The 17,445-nt window shown below is 47.7% G+C and overlaps 1 protein-coding gene and 1 long non-coding RNA gene across 5 annotated transcripts in view, besides 6 other annotated features; one reads left to right on the top strand and one right to left on the bottom strand.

The window, feature by feature from the left end:
* The window catches only part of NXN (nucleoredoxin), a 180,467-nt gene that overhangs the window by 66,626 nt on the left and 96,396 nt on the right, over positions 1–17,445 (top strand). The window contains exon 1 of one of the 4 annotated variants that reach the window (XM_005256758.4): positions 15,254–16,265. The exons of the other annotated variants lie outside the window; for them this stretch is intronic. Coding sequence (XP_005256815.1) covers positions 16,245–16,265 — 21 coding nt within the window. The 5' untranslated portion in view covers positions 15,254–16,244. Of the gene's footprint in view, positions 1–15,253; positions 16,266–17,445 lie in introns of those variants that run through there. 4 annotated transcript variants of the gene reach the window in all.
* LOC101927727 (uncharacterized) lies at positions 1,939–3,519 on the bottom strand. Its single transcript, NR_135633.1, has 2 exons — positions 3,219–3,519; positions 1,939–2,457 (listed from the first exon to the last, which is right to left on the bottom strand). It is a non-coding gene; the product is annotated as an uncharacterized LOC101927727 (long non-coding RNA).
* Positions 3,148–3,442: an enhancer, noted in NCBI's record as "tiled region #13189; K562 Activating DNase matched - State 9:DNaseU". NCBI's record gives its function as "activates a minimal TATA promoter and a strong SV40 promoter by Sharpr-MPRA in K562 cells {active_cell/tissue: K562}" and the evidence as "EXISTENCE:reporter gene assay evidence [ECO:0000049][PMID:27701403]".
* Positions 12,985–13,486: an enhancer, noted in NCBI's record as "H3K4me1 hESC enhancer chr17:802905-803406 (GRCh37/hg19 assembly coordinates)". NCBI's record gives its function as "activates a minimal SCP1, AML or CMV promoter by ChIP-STARR-seq in naive H9 embryonic stem cells {active_cell/tissue: H9 hESC(naive)}" and the evidence as "EXISTENCE:reporter gene assay evidence [ECO:0000049][PMID:30033119]".
* Positions 13,990–14,630: an enhancer, noted in NCBI's record as "NANOG-H3K27ac hESC enhancer chr17:801761-802401 (GRCh37/hg19 assembly coordinates)". NCBI's record gives its function as "activates a minimal SCP1, AML or CMV promoter by ChIP-STARR-seq in primed H9 embryonic stem cells {active_cell/tissue: H9 hESC(primed)}" and the evidence as "EXISTENCE:reporter gene assay evidence [ECO:0000049][PMID:30033119]".
* Positions 14,631–15,272: an enhancer, noted in NCBI's record as "NANOG-H3K27ac-H3K4me1 hESC enhancer chr17:801119-801760 (GRCh37/hg19 assembly coordinates)". NCBI's record gives its function as "activates a minimal SCP1, AML or CMV promoter by ChIP-STARR-seq in primed H9 embryonic stem cells {active_cell/tissue: H9 hESC(primed)}" and the evidence as "EXISTENCE:reporter gene assay evidence [ECO:0000049][PMID:30033119]".
* Positions 14,631–16,381: a biological region, named in NCBI's record as "BRD4-independent group 4 enhancer GRCh37_chr17:800010-801209".
* Positions 15,182–16,381: an enhancer, noted in NCBI's record as "BRD4-independent group 4 enhancer chr17:800010-801209 (GRCh37/hg19 assembly coordinates)". NCBI's record gives its function as "activates an origin of replication core promoter dependent on BRD2, P300/CBP, MED14 and CDK7 cofactors, and independent of BRD4, by STARR-seq in HCT116 cells {active_cell/tissue: HCT116}" and the evidence as "EXISTENCE:reporter gene assay evidence [ECO:0000049][PMID:35650434]".

Raw genomic sequence — 17,445 nt, 5'->3', positions numbered from 1 at the left:
GAATTAATCTAGATTTTATTGGTGACTATAAAAGAGATGACTGTAATATAAAACTTCTATATGGTCCAAAATACCAGAAACCAGATCAAATGATAAACCCTAGGGTGAGAAAAGATATTTCCAACGTATATGACAGAGAAAAGTGCTATTTTTCTTTTCTTTCTTTCTTTTTTCCGTCCTTTCCTTTCTCTTTTCTCCTTTCCTTGTTTCACTCTGTCGCCCAGGCTGGAGTGCGGTGGTGCAATCTTGGCTCACTGCAAGCTCCATCTCCCGGGTTCAAGCGATTCTCCTGCCTCAGCCTCCCGAGTAGCTGGGATTACAGACACGTACCACCACGCCCGGCTAATTTTTCGTATTTTTAGTAGAGACGGGGTTTCACCATGTTGGCCAGGCTGGTCTCGAACTCCTGACCTCAGGTGATCCGCCCGCATCGGCCTCCCAAATGTAATCTTCATGCTGGGATTACAGGTGTGAGCCACTGCCCACTGGCCTGTTTTTTTTCTTAATGCATAAAGAGCTTTTAAAATCAATTTGGGTAAAGAATTTGAACAGAGAAAGACACATAAACATGAAAAGATGCCTGGTTCTGTTTGCAATTAAAGAAGTACAACTTTTGAAATATGTGATTATTAAACTGGCAAAAGGAACATTTGATAACATACAGTGTTGGCAAGGATGTAGACGGGGTCTCTCCCGCGTGGTTGGGGGAGCGTAATCTGATGCGGTGTCTTTGGCAGTGTTTTAACACAGTTAAAAATGTGTGGACCGTTTGACCTGTCAGTCCAATTTCTGGGAATTTCTCAACAGATCTTACAAATACGGTTGACCCTCAAACAACGTTGGTTTGAACTACACCGTTCCATTTATACACAGATTTTTTTCAACCGAATGTGGATTAAAAAATAGAGTATTTGGCCGGGTGTGGTGGCTCACGCTTATAAGCCCAGCACTTTGGGAGGCTGAGGAGGGTGGATCACTTGATGTTAGGAGTTCAACACCAGCCTGGCCAACATGGCAAAACCCCATCTCCACTAAAAATAGAAAAATTAGCCGTGCGTGGTAGCGGGCGCCTGTAATCCCTGCTACTTGGGAGGCTGAGGCAGGAGAATCACTTGAACTCGGGAGGCAGAGGTTGCAGTGAGCCGAGATCGCGCCACTGTACTCCAGCCTGGGCAACAGAGTGAGACTGTCCATCTCAAAAAAAAAAAAAAAGTATATGCATGAATATCGTCTGGAAGTTACTTAACTGAGGGGATTACCTGAGGGCCAGACTGGGATCTGGGGAGGGAGAAAGACTCACGTGAAATGTTTTATGTGCATATTTTGTTTTTATAGTTGGAGAAAACTATGAAACTTTGGTTAGACATTAAAAAAAAAAAAAAATTGGCCGGGCCCTGTGGCTCACACCTGTAATCCCAGCACTTTGGGAGGCTGAGGCGGGCAGATCACGAGGTCAGGAGATCAAGACCATCCTGGCTAACAGGGTGAAAGAAACCTCATCTCTACTAAAAATACAAAAATTAGCCGGGTGTGGTGGTGGGCGGCTGTAATCCCAATACTTTGGGAGGCTGAGACGGGTGGATCACAAGGTCAGGAGATCGAGACCATCCTGGCTAACACGGTAAAACACCATCTCTACAAAAAATACAAAAAAAATTAGCCGGGCGTCTGTAGTCCCAGCTACTCAGGAAGCTGAGGCAGGAGAATGGCATGAACCTGGGAGGCGGAGCTTGCAGCAAGCCGAGATCGCGCCACTGCACTCCAGCCTGGGCGACAGAGCGAGACTCCGTCTCAAAAAAAAAAAAAAAAAAAAAGAAGACTTGCATTAATGGAGAAACAGACTGTTCCTGGCTAGAAATACAAAATATTGTAAAGATGTCATTTCTTTAAAATTAATTTATAGATTTAATGCAGTCATAGTTAAAAATCCCAAGCAGGGGCAGGGCATGATTTTTATTGTTAAGAAGCTTAGGGTAGAGTATGGGAGACAGAAACATAATGTTCACAAAAATATGCCTTGAGCAGTTACAAAGCCGTATATCAAGTGCAAAGCAATAAAATTGGATACATATGCACTGTGGGAACTTGGAGTCCTTTGAGAGGACACACTATTGGCAGAGTGGAGTTAATCAGCAAAAAAAATACTTTAAAAAAAAGCTAAAAAAGATAAGCTAGAGCAGGAAGGAATCTTCCTTAAAGTCCAGAGTCTCCCGGAACATGGAGACTGTCCTTCCCAAGCCTTCTCGCGGGGAGGGAATTCCTTCTTTCTGCCGCCTGTTACATCCCTGTGTGAGAAGGTCTGTGAGCTGAGCCCACATCACTCGTTCTGCTGCCCAGGTGTGCTTCCATCTTCACTGTGGAAAAGTCATTTTGAACTCCCCGGTGACTGCAAATTAAGTAATCAAGGACAGATGGGACTGGGTTGACCATTCCAAGGAGTACAGTTACTTGAAGAATCTGGAAGCAATACCGAGCACATTTGTTGGCATTAATTCATTGGAGCAATAATGCTGTACGTAGAAAGTATGTTGCTTTTTTAAAAAAACATCATCAGTTCTGAGCATTTGTAGCAAGTGAACTCTAACTTGGAACGGATGATAAATTCTTCTAAAAAACAAATAAAAACCCTCCAGACAATATTATGCATTGAGAGCTTTAAAAAATATATATCCTACAGCATTTGGAAAACACTTTGTCTGTCTATGCCACTTACAAAGATTAGAACTTTTTTTTTTTTTTTTAATGGAGTCTCACTCTGTCACCCAGGCTGGAGTGCAGCGGCGCGATCTCGGCTCACCACAACCTCCGCCTCCCGGGTTCAAGTGATTCTCCTCCCTCAGCCTTCTGAGTAGCTGGGATTACAAGTGCCCGCCACCACGCCTGGCTCATTTTTGTATTTTTAGTAGAGACAGGGTCTCGCCCTGTTGGCCAGGCTGGTCTCCGTCTCCTGGTCTCAGGTGATCCGCCTGCCTCGGCCTCCCCAACTGCTGGGATTACAGGCGTGAGCTGCCAGGCCTGGCCAAGATTAGAATTTGAGTCATAGGTTGTTTGATTTAGGAGGTGTAGGATGTTGCTTCAACCTAGAACTGGATGGAGCTTTTAGGAGATTTAAGATTGTTCTCTTGGCAAATAAACTGCCTTTATGTTAGAAGTATTTCATGATTCTTTCATAAGATCCATAGTGGATAGATATAGATATTAAAGGCGATATCACTCACCAGCGTTTTTTAAGACGTTGTCCTCTGTCACGCGCTGTTTTCCGTTAGTCCACTTCAGAGGCATCACTACCAGCAGTTGCTTAAGACTCATTTCCGGCCGGGCGCGGTGGCTCAGGCCCATCATCCCAGCACTGTGGGAGGCCGAGGTGGGTGGATCACGAGGTCAGGAGATCCAGACCCTCCTGGCTAACATGGTGAAAGCCGTCTCTACTAAAAATAAAAAAAATTAGGCCGGGCGTGGTGGCTCACGCCTGTAACCCCAGCTACTCGGGAGGCTGAGGCAGGAGAATGGCGTGAACCCGGGAGGCAGAGGTTGCAGTGAGCGGAGATCGCACCCCTGCACTCCAGCCTGGGGGACAGAGCAAGACTCAGTCTCAAAAAAAAAAAAAAAAAAAAAAAATTCATTTCCTTTGGAACACAAGTTTATCAGCAGAAGTCGAGAAGTGCTGTCTTTTGTGAACATTCTCATGTCAGAACAGGTTTTCGGTGGCTTGATTGTTTTTTCTCAACAGTGCAGGTCTGTCCAAATGTTACACTGGACTTTATTCTAAGGGAACGCTATTCCTCTATTTGGTACCACAGAAGAATAAATATAAAATCTCTCTGTTTCATGCCGAGCACTGGTTGTGTAATGTTTAGCTTTATAAGTGTTTGTAATTTCAGATTTTGCAATGTTTTATGAGATTAAAAGTGAAAAACAAAACCCAAGATGTTTCTTGTTTAATCTTCATTATTCTGTCACTTAAAAGAAGATTTTGAGATGTGTTCCTCTCGTTTGACTAGGACAGACTGCTGGCAGGGAGTGTTTTTTTTTTTTTTTTTTTTTTTTTTTTTGAGACGAAGTCTCACTCTGTCGCCCAGGCTGGAGTGCAGTGGTGTGATCTCGACTCACTGCGACCTCTGCCTCCCAGGTTCAAGCACTTCTCCTGCCCCCGAGTAGCTGAGGCTACAGACAAGTGCCACCACACCCGGCTAATTTGTTTTGTAGTTTTAGTAGAGACGGGGGTTTCACCATGTTGGCCAGGCTGGTCTCAAACTCCTGACCTCGTGATCTGCCTGCCTCGGCCTCCCAAAGTGCTGGGATTACAGGTGTGAGCCACCGCACCCAGCCGGGAGTGTATTATTAAAAGTGCTAGTCGTGGTTTTCAGTGTTTAAAACATGAGGCAAAGGTTTCATGGATCCTACACCTAATGGCACCTGTAGTCTTGAATTTTTGGTCTGAAGACAGTTGTTGGTGCTCATGGGATGGAAGGAGCTTTGTGATAACCCTGAAGCGCTCTCCAGGGGGCCTTTGGTACATGTTTGGGATCCACTGCCGTGGACTATTTGGTTTAACCATAATGGCTTCGGTCCAAAAAAGTAGAACATGGGTTTTTTGTTTTGTTTTGTTTCCTTTGAGACAGAGTCTCGTTCTGTTGCCCAGGCTGGAGTGCAACGGCACAATCTCAGTTCACTGCAACATCCACCTCCCAGGTTCAAGGGATTCTCTTGCCTCAGCCTCCCAAGTAGCTGGGATTACAGGCTCCCACCAACATGCCTGGCTAATTTCTGTATTTTTAGTAGAGATGGGGTTTCACCATGTTGGCCAGGCTGGTCTCAAACTCTTGACCTCATGATCCGCCTGCCTCAGCCTCCCAAAGTGCTGGGAATACAGGCGTGAACGACCGTGCCCGGCTAGAACATGGGTTTTTGAAGTAACCCAATTAGAGACCAGAGGAGAAAAATCAGGGGTCAGAATTGAGGAAATTGTTCTTCCTTTATAGCTCACCCCTACTGTGAGCCGTCTCTGGGGAACACTCAGTTAAGAAAGGAAAACTTATTATGATTATGTTCTGTTTCAGAATGTTGGGACCCTTTTTTTCTTGGAACCTTTAGGTCCTAAAGCAGGAATGCCTTTGAACAGACCACAGGTGTCTCTAGAGAGGGAGACTTGGGGGTACTCTGGGAGGTTGAACTGAGACCTCCCAGGTTCAGGGACGGAGCGCTGCTGAGCCCATTACATGAGTTGGCAGCGAGCCTGGGCCACCGAATGTCCACTTTGGCAGTTCAAGCATGAAGCCAACAAAGATAGATGCAACTGGTTTCGAGAGGACAGAACCCACCTCCCTTGTTTTCTGCCATCCATTATATTTTGTGGCCATTTATGAAAGTTGCAGTGTCTGAAGACATGCCTGTGTCAACTTGAGAATCCTACAGATCCGACATCTGAAAAAAGGACCAATCTGTGGGTAAATCACCTGCTAAACATTACCATATTCCAGGCCGGGCCCACCAAACATTACTGTATTTCAGACCAGGCACAGTGTTTTCACGCCTATAATGTCAGGACTTTGGGAGGCCAAGGCGGGAGGATCACCTGAGGTCAGGAGTTCAAGACCAGCCTGGCCAACATGGTGAAACCCCATCTCTACTAAAAATACAAAAATTAGCCTGGCGTGGTGGCGGGCACCTGTAATCCCAGCTACTAGGGAGGCTGAGGCAGGAGAATCACTTGAACTCGGGAGGCGGAGCTTGCAGTGAGCTGAGATCACTCCAGTGCACTCCAGCTTGAGTGACCGAGTGAGACTCTGTTTAAAAAAAAAAAAAAAATAGGTATTGAGACATCACTTCTCCTCACAATCCTAAAATATTGCAAGAAGCAATCACCTAAATTCACAGGTAATTCGCTAACCCTTCTGAAGAGCCAGAGGCTGCAGGAAAGGGAACAAGATAGGTTGGGTCGGGCAAGGAGGGATGTTTTTCTCCATCTTTGTTTACGAGTCTAATTAATTCTCTTGGAGATAACCCTCCCCCGCCCCCCCAAAAAAAGATTACTTGGAAATTGGGCTGAGATTTTTCTTGTAAAGTGGGTTTACAGCTTCTGACATGGTAACTGTACTAGGGGACTGTTGATGTGTGTTTCTCGCTGTTTTTGTGCCTCTGGGAAGGAAGGACAGGTGTGTGCAAAATGTTTATAGACCAAAGAAAAGATGCTGCTGCTGTTTGAGGATGATCTAGTCTCTTAAAGTAACTGGAATAGCAATAACTGGCATTTGCATAGGACTATACAGAACACTTCCCAGCCGGGCACGGTGGCTCACGCCTGTAATCCCAGCCTGACTTTGGGAGGCTGAGGTGGGCGGATCACCTGAGGTCAGGAGTTCGAGACCAGACTGGCCAACATAATGAAACCCGATTTCCACTAAAAAAAAAAAAAAGTTGTCCGGGTGTGGTGGTGGGTGCCTGTAGTCCCAGCTACTCGGGAGGCTGAGGCAGGAGAATCACTTGAACCCGGGAGGTGGAGGTTGCAGGGAGCCGAGATTGCAGTGCTGCACTCCAGCCTGGGTGACAGAGTGAGACTGTCTCAAAAAAAAAAAAAACCCAGAAACCAAAAAAACCCCAAAACACTTCCTTCTGCATTATAATACATGAGCCTCGAGACAGCCTTGTGAGGAAGTTGTGTTGGCATTTTTTCACCTTCATTTGAGTTTTATGACCCTCAAGCTCAAGAAGGTTAAGTGACTTGACCAGAGCTGTTTAAGTAGGAAACGGGCAGGTGGGAACTACAGACATTTTTCTTTAAAAAAAAACTTTAAAAAACATGGTATTTATTTATTTATTAATTCCAGGCCAGTCATTCAAAAATACACAGTTTAGAAGTAAGTAGAACCCTGGACACTTCTTAACTATATGGTGCCACTTCCCAGAGCTGTGTGGTCCAGGGGCCGCCACTAGCTTCTCATGGCTGCGAAGCAGGTACCTGAGAATGAGGCAAGTCTACATCGAGATGCACTGAAGGTATAAAGTGCACCAGGCCCCTGAGACCCAGATACGATGAAAGGAATGTAATATGTCCTATTACTATTCGTTTATATTGATTACATTTCAACATGATCATGTTTCAGATGTATTGGGTTAAAATATATTAAGATTAACTTCACCTGTACCTTTTTACCTTTTTCTTTTTTTTTTTTTTGAGACAAGGTCTCACTCTGTAGTTCAGGCTGGAGTACAATGGCACGATTGTGGCTCACTGCGACCTCTGCCTCCTGGGCTCAAGCGATCCTCCCACCCCAACCTCCTGAGTAGCTGGGACCACAGGCACATGCCACCATGCCCAGCTAATTTTTAAATTTTTTGTAGAGATAGGGTCTCGCTTTGTTGCCCAGGCTGATCTCAAACTCCTGGGCTCAAGCAGTCCTCCCGCCTCAGCCTGTCAAAGTGCTGGGATTACAAGTGTGAGCCACCATGCCATGCCCAACCCTTTTTACCTTTCACTGTTAAGAAATTTAAGATGATACATGTGGCTTACATTATATTTCTATTGAACGGCACTGGCCTAGAACTATTTTCTGTGGTTTGCAATAGCATGATTTCTGTCTTGTATCGGTAACATGTCTCATATTTTACTACGTTCTAGCCTGTAAGAGCACCCCTCCATTTTGGGGCAGCAGGTTGCTTTAAACTTCCCTTTCTGTTTTGAAGACTGCTTTAAGAAACTTATACATTCTTTATTTCACTTTTTTTATTTTTAACCGACAGGATCTCGTTCTGTCACCTGGACTGGAGTGTGGTGGTGCATTCTTAGCTCACTGCAGCCTCTTAGCTCCTGGGCTCCAGGGATTTTCCCACCTCCTGAATAGCTGAAACTATGTGTGTGCATTACCATGCCCGGCATCTATATATATATATATATATTTACATTTACAGACAGGGTCTTGCTGTGTCGCCCAGCTGGTCTCGAACTCTTGGGCTCAAGCAGTCTGCCTGCTTCGGCATTCTAAAATACTGGGATTACAGGTATGAGCCACCACACCTGGCCTATTTTAGAATTTTAATATAATTCCAGTGATTTTAATGACATAGCCTTCCAGGTAAGTCTTGATTCATTGGCAGAGTGTATGTTTGGGGACTGTGTGTTAGATCCGTAGTTGTGGGTGTAGGAGTGTGAATGTGGCACACACGCTTGTGTGTGAAGAGGAGCAGAAGACGGGAAACAGACCTTGCAGGGGGCTTTGCCAAACCCTTCATGTCATACAGACTCTGCTTCTCTAAGGGTGAGGAGTAAAGATGTGTATTCTTCCCTTACCTGTAAAAAATACTGCCAAGGGCCGGGCATGGTGGCTCACGCCTGTCATCCCAGCACTTTGGGAGGCCGAGGTGGGCAGATCACCTGAGGTCAGGAGATCGAGACCAGCCTGGCCAAGATGGTGAAACCCCATCTCCACTAAAAATACAAAAATTAGCTGGATGTGATTGCATGCGCCTGTAATCCCAGCTACTCAGGAGACTGAGGCAGGAGAATCGCTTGAACCCGGGAGGCAGAGGTTGCAGTGAGCCGAGATGGCACCATTGCACCCCAGCCCGGGTGACAGAGTGAGGCTGTGTCTCAAAAACAAACAAGTAAACGAAAAAATACTGCCATGTGGGTGAGTTCCTGTTACTGATGGGAATGTGTTGGGTCAAAGTGGAGGGGAAAAATGCTGAAAATCACCACATCAGAGAGAGAGACTTTACAGCCCTCGGAAAAGAGGCCACTGGGAAAGGCTCTTGTTTTATAAGCTTTTTCCGACGTGTGCGTCCTTTCCTTTTGTCCTTCGTGGCCACGGGGCACCATAAAACTGGGGCCAGTCTGTCGGATGGAAGCCGGACGGCGTCCGACGTCCGGGCAGCCCGCAGGTCCCGCTCTCCGCAGCAAGGCCCGCTTACAACCTGGGAGTTTTGGAAGTCCGCTCGGCCAGCCCTTCCCCAGGCTTTGCTGGGGCTGCAGAAGAACTCTTAGGGCAGTCGACGCGGTGAGGCATGTACGGACAGAGTTTGGCCTTATTCAGTCTAATTATGAAAATTCTTGGCAGGAATTCTACATGAATCACCTCCAAAAAAATTTACGTTAAAGTTAATGCTACAAGTCTGACTTCAGCCCACAAAACTCAGAAAACTAGGTTCTGCGTCTACAAATGCAGCCTTAACTCCTCCTTGTCCACAGACTAGTGACTTTTACCACAAACAAGGGAGCGTGAATTTTGTTAGGAATCTGCCCGTGGGGGGTGAGGTTGGCTTCGGAGGGGGCCGCCCCAGTGGGGATTTGGTCTACCCTGAATGAAGGCAGGCGTCAGGCCCTTTGGCTGCGGTCATAATACGTTGTATGACTTCCGGCAGCTCCTTAGCCTCTCTGAACCTCAGTGTTCTATCTGGAAAATGGGGATAATAATACCTCAAAGGGTTGTCGTGGGTACTAAGTGAGCCCATATGTATAGAACTTGTAGCAGAGGCTGGGTGTCCTGGCTCACGCCTGGAATCCCAGCACTTTGGGAGGCTGAGGCAGGAGGATCACTTGAGCCCAGGAGTTTGAGACCAGCCTGTGCAACAAGGCAAAACACCGTCTTTACAAAAAATTTTAAAGTTAGCTGGGTGTGGTAGCGCACGCCTGTAGTCCCAGCTACTCAGGAGGTGGAGGTGGGAGAATCTGCTTGAGCCTGGGAGGCAGAGGTTGCAGTGAGCTGTGATCATACCACTGCACTCCAGCCTGGGTGACAGAGCGAGACCCTGTCTCAAAAAAAAAAGCATAGATCAAAAAACAGAGACTGGGCATGGTGGCGGGCGCCTGTAATCCCAGCTACTTGGGAGGCTGAGGCAGGAGAATCGTTTGAACACTGGAAGAGGAGGTTGCAGTGAGCCAAGATGGCACCACTGCACTCCAGCCTGGGTGACCGAGTGAGACTCTGTCTCAAAACAAAAACAAAAAAACAAAAAAACTTGTAGCAGAATTGAAGAGGTGAGCACGTCATAACTGTTAGCTGCTTTTATTATTGTTGTTATTATAGTTATACATTGTGTTCAATATTGTGGGTACCAGGGTGGTCGATGAAATGATGGGAGGGGAGGCTGGGTGCGGTGGCTCAGCCTGTAATTCCAGCTCTTTGGGAGGCCGAGGTGGGCGGATCACCTGAGTTCGGGAGTTCGAGACCAACCTGACCAACATGGAGAAAGCCCATCTCTACTAAAAATATAAAAAATTAGCCAGACGTGATGGTGCATCCCAGCTACCTGGGAAGCTGAGGCAGGAGAATCGCTTGAACCCGGGAGGCGGAGGTTATAGTGAGCTGAGATCGCGCCATTGCACTCCAGCCTGGGTGATGAGCGAAAGTCAGTCTTAAAAAAAAAAAAAAAGAATGATGGGCAGAGGCCATTGTGTTGTGTTAAAATAGTGTGAGTACCAGGGTGGTGGATGGAATGATGGGAGGGGCTGATGATGGGAGGGGCTGATGATGGGAGGGGCTGTCGTGGTGCTTGTTCTGTGTGACTCTTACCTTTTTTCCTCACGTCTCCTTCGTAAACAGGTTTGGAGGGAAGAAAGTAAGTCCTAGAAAGCCAGTGGCATTGCCACTGAGTGACAGTTGCCTTTAAAAAGCTTTCTCTGCTCACCTTTTGGGGGAGGGGACAGGGCAGGACGGCCCAGTGAGGCAGCATCTTTTCTTGTGTCGCCTTTTTCTCTCCACTGCCTTCTCCCTAGTAAATCTGTTTCTGCCTCGATGTAGATGTCCCGAGGACCTTCACCGTGATTTTCAGGTTCAGAAGGACATTCTCGTGCCTTCGACTTGAAGTATCAACCTCACGGATCCTCGTGGATCTCACGGGAAGTTAAAAAGCTTTTTCTGTTACCGGAACGGTTTCTGAGAACGCCAGAGCGAGCGTTGGCTTATGTCTGGAACGGACGGCGGACGTGGGTCCGTCGTGCGAGTGGGAGCAGTGAATAATGAAACTGGCGAGAGATGCCCTGACAGCAGCAACACTGTTCCCTGGTATCAGGTTCAGTCCTGACTCACTAGCTGGGACAAACACCCGAGGGTATTTTTGGGAGATGAGCCTGGAGGGCTGGAACCCTGGACCGTGTGGCTGTCCAGCTCACAGGCAGATGGCTCTGCATGAGACCATGTTTAAACAGCAAGCTGAGGCCGGGTGCGGTGGCTCACACCTGCAATCCCAGCACTTTGGGAGGCTGAGGCAGGTGGATCACCTGAGGTCAGGAGTTTGAGACCAGCCTGGCCATCATGGCGAAACCCCGTCTCTACTGAAAATACAAAAATTAGCTGGGCATGATGGTGGGTGCCTGTAATCCCAACTACTCAGGAGGCTGAGGCAGGAGAATGACTTAAACCCAGTAGGCAGAGGTTGCAGTGAGCTGAGATTGCGCCACTGCACTGCGGCTTGGGCGACAGAGCGATATCCCATCTCCAAAAAACAGAACAAAACAAAAAAACAAACAGCAAGCTGAAGGAGAGACTTTCAGGCTGAGTGTTTATGGGACAAAATGCCATCGATTTAGATTTAGATTTAGTTAATGTGCTTTGTTTGAATTCATTGCCCTGGTTTTCACGGGGGAGGTGTCCTGGTGTCCTTGAATCCCATGACTGTTGTTGGAGGTAGATCCCGTGCTTTTCATTTTAGTAACGAGGAAGCAGAGGTCAGGGCAGCTGAAGCATTTGAGTCACTTGGGATCTGGCAGAGCCGGGAGTTGGACCAGGTCTGCTGTTTCCCAGGCCAGAGTTCTTCCCCGGAATAAACTGCGGAGAGGAAAGGAGCTAGCGTTGATTAAGTGTCTGCCTTTGTGCCAGATACTGTTATTCCATTTCATGTAGAGATCATCTCCCCCCACAGATCCCTGCATGTTGCAGAGGGTGACGTTGAGGCTCAGAGGGGTTTTGGATACAAATGAGAATGCAGATCTATCTGGCCGGACGCCGTGGCTCATGCCTGTAATCCCATCACTTTGGGAGGCCGAGGCGGGCAGATCAAGTGAGGTCAGGAGATCGAGACCATCCTGGCCAACATGGTGAAACCCCATCTCTACTAAAAATACAAAAATTAGCCAGGCGTGGTGGTGGATGCCTGCAATCCCAGCTACTCGGGAGGCTGAGGCACGAGAATCACTTGAACCCGGGAGGTGGAGGTTGCAATGAACCAAGATCGTGCCATTGCACTCTAGGCTGGGCAAAAAGAGCTTAAACTCCATCCAAAAAAAAAAAAAAAAAAAAAAAAGAATGCAGATCTATCTTTTCATAAAGTCCACACTTTTCTCTCAAAACTCCCCTGCCTCCCAGAAGATGCTTCCAGCCCTGCAGATTGGGTCATTTATAACGTCTCTGCAGAATAATCCTGAGCTTTTAAATATTAGAAAACTTTCCATGAAGAGAAAAAAAGGTACTTTTTTTTTGGCCGTCTTCTCTGTAGACGTTAGCTTTTGAGTGGTTTTTGGCTTTCTAATAAAGTGCTAAAGTTTAGGGCCAGTCCCAGTGGTAAGAATTTGAAAAACTAGTATCATTCATGTTTCTTCTCCTTGAACGGGCAGATTCATTTTGCTTGTAAATAAACTCACCACCCTCCCTTCCCACCCTGGGAGGATCCTGATGCCATGGTTTGCCAGCAGCCTCCTGGGAGGAAAGAGATTTCCTCCTGATGTTTGTACCTTCCTCGTGCCTCTCTGTTCCTGCAAGAGGTGGGAATCTGGTGGGGAAGAGAGTGGGCTCTGAAGCCAGATGGTCAGCTCTGGGTTCCTGGCATTGTGGCCTTGGGCAGCTCACCATTTCCAGGCCTCCATTTCTCCATCTATAAAATGCTGTCTCTCTTCATGAGCTTTTTGGCTATATCTTCAGAAAGTTTGTGTTTTTTTTTCCTTTTTTTGTTTTGAGACGGAGTTTCGGTCTTGTTGCCCAGGCTGGAGTGCAATGGCGCAATCTTGGCTCACCACAACCTCTGCCCCCCCGGGTTCAAGCGATTCTCCTGCCTCAGCCTCCTAAGTAGCTGGGATTTCAGGCATGCGCCACCACACCCCGCTAATTTTGTATTTTTAGTAGAGACAGGGTTTCTCCATGTTGGTCAGGTTGGTCTCAAACTCCTGACCTCAGGAGATCCGCCTGCCTCGGCCTCCCAACGTGCTGGGATTACGGGCATGAGCCACCACGCCCGGCCCTCAGAAAAGTTTTAGTGTTAAACTCTATAGCTTGAGGATATCATTTACTTTAACAAAAGCCCTTTGATTTCCTTTGTGAAAATAATTAATTTAGAGACAGGGTCTCACTCTGTCACTCAGGCTGGGGTGCAACGACATGATCATAGCTCACTGCAGCCTCGAACTCCTGGGCTCAGGCTATCCTCCTGCCTCATCCTCCCTAGTAGCTGGGACTACAGGCGTGCACCACCGCCCCCAGCTTGTAAAATTTATCAACTGGGCAAGACCCTCCCTGCAGGAAGCTTTTTTTACTGTCTCCCAGGAAAAGAAACCCTGTACCTAAATCTCCGTAACAGAGAGGAGAGAAAGGAGGAAAGTGCGGAATCCGTGGTTTTGTTTTTTAAGGCTCAGCGCTAATTCCTGACGATATAATCATGAGTGAATCAGTCTTTGCCCTCAAGGAGCTAAATCTCCTTGCGGGAAAGAGAAGCAAGCTGTATCTTCTTTGCAGCTCTCAGTAATACCTGCCATTTTCTTGTTTATTGTTGTTTATTGATCGTCCTCCCTCACGAGAATATGAGCTCAGGAGAGCGGGCATCCAGGTGTCTCTCTCAGGGTCTTATTTTTTGTACCCAGCACGTCAATATTTGTTGAATTAATGGATGGATAGATGGAGTATTAAGCAAAGTAAGGAGACAGTTATAGTACTATTAATATAAAAGGTGCTGTAAGAAAAGCATGCACAGGCCGGGGTGCGGTGGCTCACGCCTGTAATCCCAGCACTTTGGGAGGCCGAGGCGGGTGGATCACCTGAGGTCAGGAGTTCAAGACGAGCCTGACCAACATGGTGAAACCGCGTCTCTACTAAAAATACAAAAATTAGCTGTGCATGGTGGTGGGTGCCTGTAATCCCAGCTACTCGGGAGGCTGAGGCAGGAGAATCACTTGAACCCGGGAGGCAGAGGTTGCAGTGAGCCAAGATCGTGCCACTGCACTCCAGCCTGGGCGACAGAGCAAGGCTCTGTCTCAAAAAAAAAGAAAAAAAAAAAAAGCATGCACAGAGGCAGAATCCCAGCCCTGTCCTTCCTTCTTTGCAGGGAGGGGATAGGAAGAAATGACTTTCAGAGTAGTTTTTTTGTTTTGTTTTTGTTTTTTTGAGACAGTCTGTTTTGTCACCCAGGCTGGAGTGCAGTGGTGCCCTCATGGCTCACTGCAGCCTCGACCTCCCAGTTTCAAGCAGTCCTCCCACCTCAGCTTGGAACTATAGGTGTGCACTACCGTCCTGGCTAATTTTTGTATTTTTTGTAAAGATGAAATTTCTCCATCTTACCCAGCCTGGTCTTGAACTCCTGGCCTGAAGTGGTCCTCCCACCTTAGCCTCCCAAAGTGCTGGGATTACAGGTGTGAGACATTGCGCCTGGCCTCAGAGTAGTTTCTCAGAGGAGATGGCGTCCGGACGAGTTCCTGACGGCAGAGTAAGAGTTAGTAGGTAAAGAAGATCAAAGCTGTTCCAGGCAGGGTGCTGGGATTACAGGGGTGAGACATTACACCTGGCCTCAGAGTAGTTTCTCAGAGGAGGTGGCGTCCGGACGAGCTCCAGATGGCAGAGTGGGAATTAGTAGGTAAAGATGGGATCAAAGGTGTTCCAGGCAGGGGAGCTGAAGAGGGGTGTGTCCCAGGAGAGCAGAGTGCATGGAACTAGGAAAGTGGTTCTCAACTGGGGCAGTTTTTCCCCCAGGGTTGTTTGTCCAGTCTTGGGGGGATGGTAAAGACCAGGAGTGCTGCTGGACATCCTGGAATGCACAGACCAGCCTCGACCAGGGAGAAACCATCCAGCCGCCAAGTGCTGAGGTTGAGAAACCCTGAGCCCCATGAAGACAGGAACAAAGATGAATGGCTGTGGGGAAGAAAGGCACAGCAGTAGGTGGGTAGTTACTTGAAAATTAAGCATTGCTTGACCAGCTCAATCCATGGAGAACTTTGAAGTGCACAATATCAAGTTATCCTTAAAATAATCTTAACTGGCCAGCAGCAGGGGTTCACACCTGTCATCCCAGCACTTCGGGAGGCCGAGGTGGGCGGATCACCTGAGGTGAGGAGTTCGAGACCAGCCTGGCCAACACGGTGAAACCCCATCTCTACTAAGAAAAAAATAGAAAAAGTAGCCATGCGTGGTGGCGGGCACCTGTAGTCCCAGCTACTCGGGAGGCTGAGGCAGGAGAACTGCTTGAACCTTGGAGGCCGAGGTTGCAGTGAGCCGAGATCGTGCCACTGCACTCCAGCCTGGGTGACAGAGTGAGACTCCATCTCGAAAAAAGAATAAAAGAAAAACAAATGCTGGACCGAGAATTCATTTAACACAGAGTTGACAGCACACTGAGGAAATCTTTGCGGATTGCCCTAGGACGGGGCATTGTGAAGCTAATAGGCAGTACTGTCTAATTTCTCAATTTCCTTTCAATAATAGCGGAACATGCCGGACGTGAATGAGGCCGCCCGGCATTTTCCTTCCCTTATTCAATTTACGTGCTGCCTTTTGACATCTGACTGATGTGGTAAGGATGCACCCCACCCTAGAACGTGCTTTCAAGAAGAAATTGAGTTTCTCTTAATCATGAGATCCATCTTGCTAATTGATTGTCCTGTAAACAGTGTGGGGCAGCCCATGCTGGCTTTGTTTCAGTGACGCTGGGGAAAAGCCACACGTCTCTGCTGTCATTTTGATGTCCACGCAGCTGCCTTTCCCATCTGGGTCACTGGAGGGTGGGAACAGCCCTTAACCTCTGCCTCCCTTTCCCAGGACAGAGCATTCGCCTCCCTGCAAGCCTGGCTCGGACTTGCCTGGGACCTGCCAGGAGCTGAACGTAGTTTTCTTTCTCCCATGGGAAATAATTTTCTTGGGCGCGGTGGCCGTGGGTTACCAGTCCCTGGCTGTCAAAGCTCACGCGTGTGTGACAGTGACGCTGTTGTTAGGCACGCCGGAGTTTCCATTACGGAGTCCGTGTATCTGCCGCGGGGACTTTCCTAGGAGAGGCGTCACTGCAACAGGCCTAGGAGGGGACTGGCTTGGGAAAAAAAGAAGAATATTGTGTGTGATATGCAGGAACTGAGAAATAGCGTGAGTTTGTTGAGGGGCCGGGGGCGGGTGGTCAGGACCGCGTGGTCCATTTTAGCATCTTCGAGATCTGCAGAGGTTCAAGTGTCTATTGTAGAGAATTTAGGGAAGCTTTGAAGTCGAGGAGAAGGTTCTATTACCAGAAACAACTCTCTGTAAAAACAGATGTCATCTGTCAATTCCACAAAAACTTCCTTGGGCCGGGGTGACTAAGATGAGAAGTGGGAGAACTGGATAGTTTAATAAATGTTTATATTTTACTTTAAAGCGAAGTTGAAACACGAAGACGATAGTTAACGTCTGGTAAGTTTATACGGTGTGCGAGGCAACAGGGAGAGGTACGGGAATAGTTCTACTTCCTTGTTTTTTATTCTTGTGTTTTAGACACAGGGTCTGCTGTGTTGCCCAGGCTGGAGTGCCGTGGCACGATCACAGCTCACTGTAATCTCAAACTCCTGTGCTCAAATAATCCACCTCAGCCTCCCGAGTAGTTAGGACTGCAGGCACACGCCACCATGCCTTGCTTACTTAATTTTTTTTTTTTTTTTGAGATGGAGTTTTGCTTTTGTTGCCCAGGCTGGAGTGCAATGGCTCGATCTCGGCTCACTGCAACCTCTGCCTCCTGGGTTCAAGTGATTCTCCTGCCTCAGCCTCCCGAGTAGCTGGGATTACAGGCATGCGCCACCACGCCCGGCTAATTTTTTGTATTTTTAGTAGGGACAGGGTTTCTCCATGTTGTCAGGCTGGTCTCGAACTCCCGACCTCAGGTGATCCGCCTGCCTCAGCCTCCCAAAGTACTGGGATTACAGGCATAAGCCACCATGCCCAGCCTATTTAATTTTTTTGTAGAGATAGTCTTGCTCTGTTGCCCAGGCTGGTCTTGAACTCTTGGCCTCAAACAATCCTCCCCACCTCAGCCTCCCAAAGCATTGGGATTACAGGTGTGAGCCACTGCCCCCAGCCCATCAACAGTTTGTAAAGCCCATTTTACTAAAAGATTCACCTTGGAAGATACTACATTGTTGAGAAGAATTAATGATGTTGGGAAAAATTAGTTTTTTTGTTTGTTTGTTTGTTTTTGAGACAAACAAAACCCAGGCTGGAGTGCAGTGGTGCGATCTCGGCTCACTGCAAGCTCCGCCTCTCAGGTTCACGCCATTCCCCTGCCTCAGCCTCCCGAGTA

The sequence above is a fragment of the Homo sapiens genome, chromosome 17 (assembly GCF_000001405.40).
Source record: "Homo sapiens chromosome 17, GRCh38.p14 Primary Assembly".
Taxonomy (NCBI): Eukaryota; Metazoa; Chordata; class Mammalia; order Primates; family Hominidae; genus Homo; species Homo sapiens.
The sequence above is the reverse complement of the archived record's forward strand: the minus strand, read 5'-3'. Positions and strand labels throughout refer to the sequence as shown.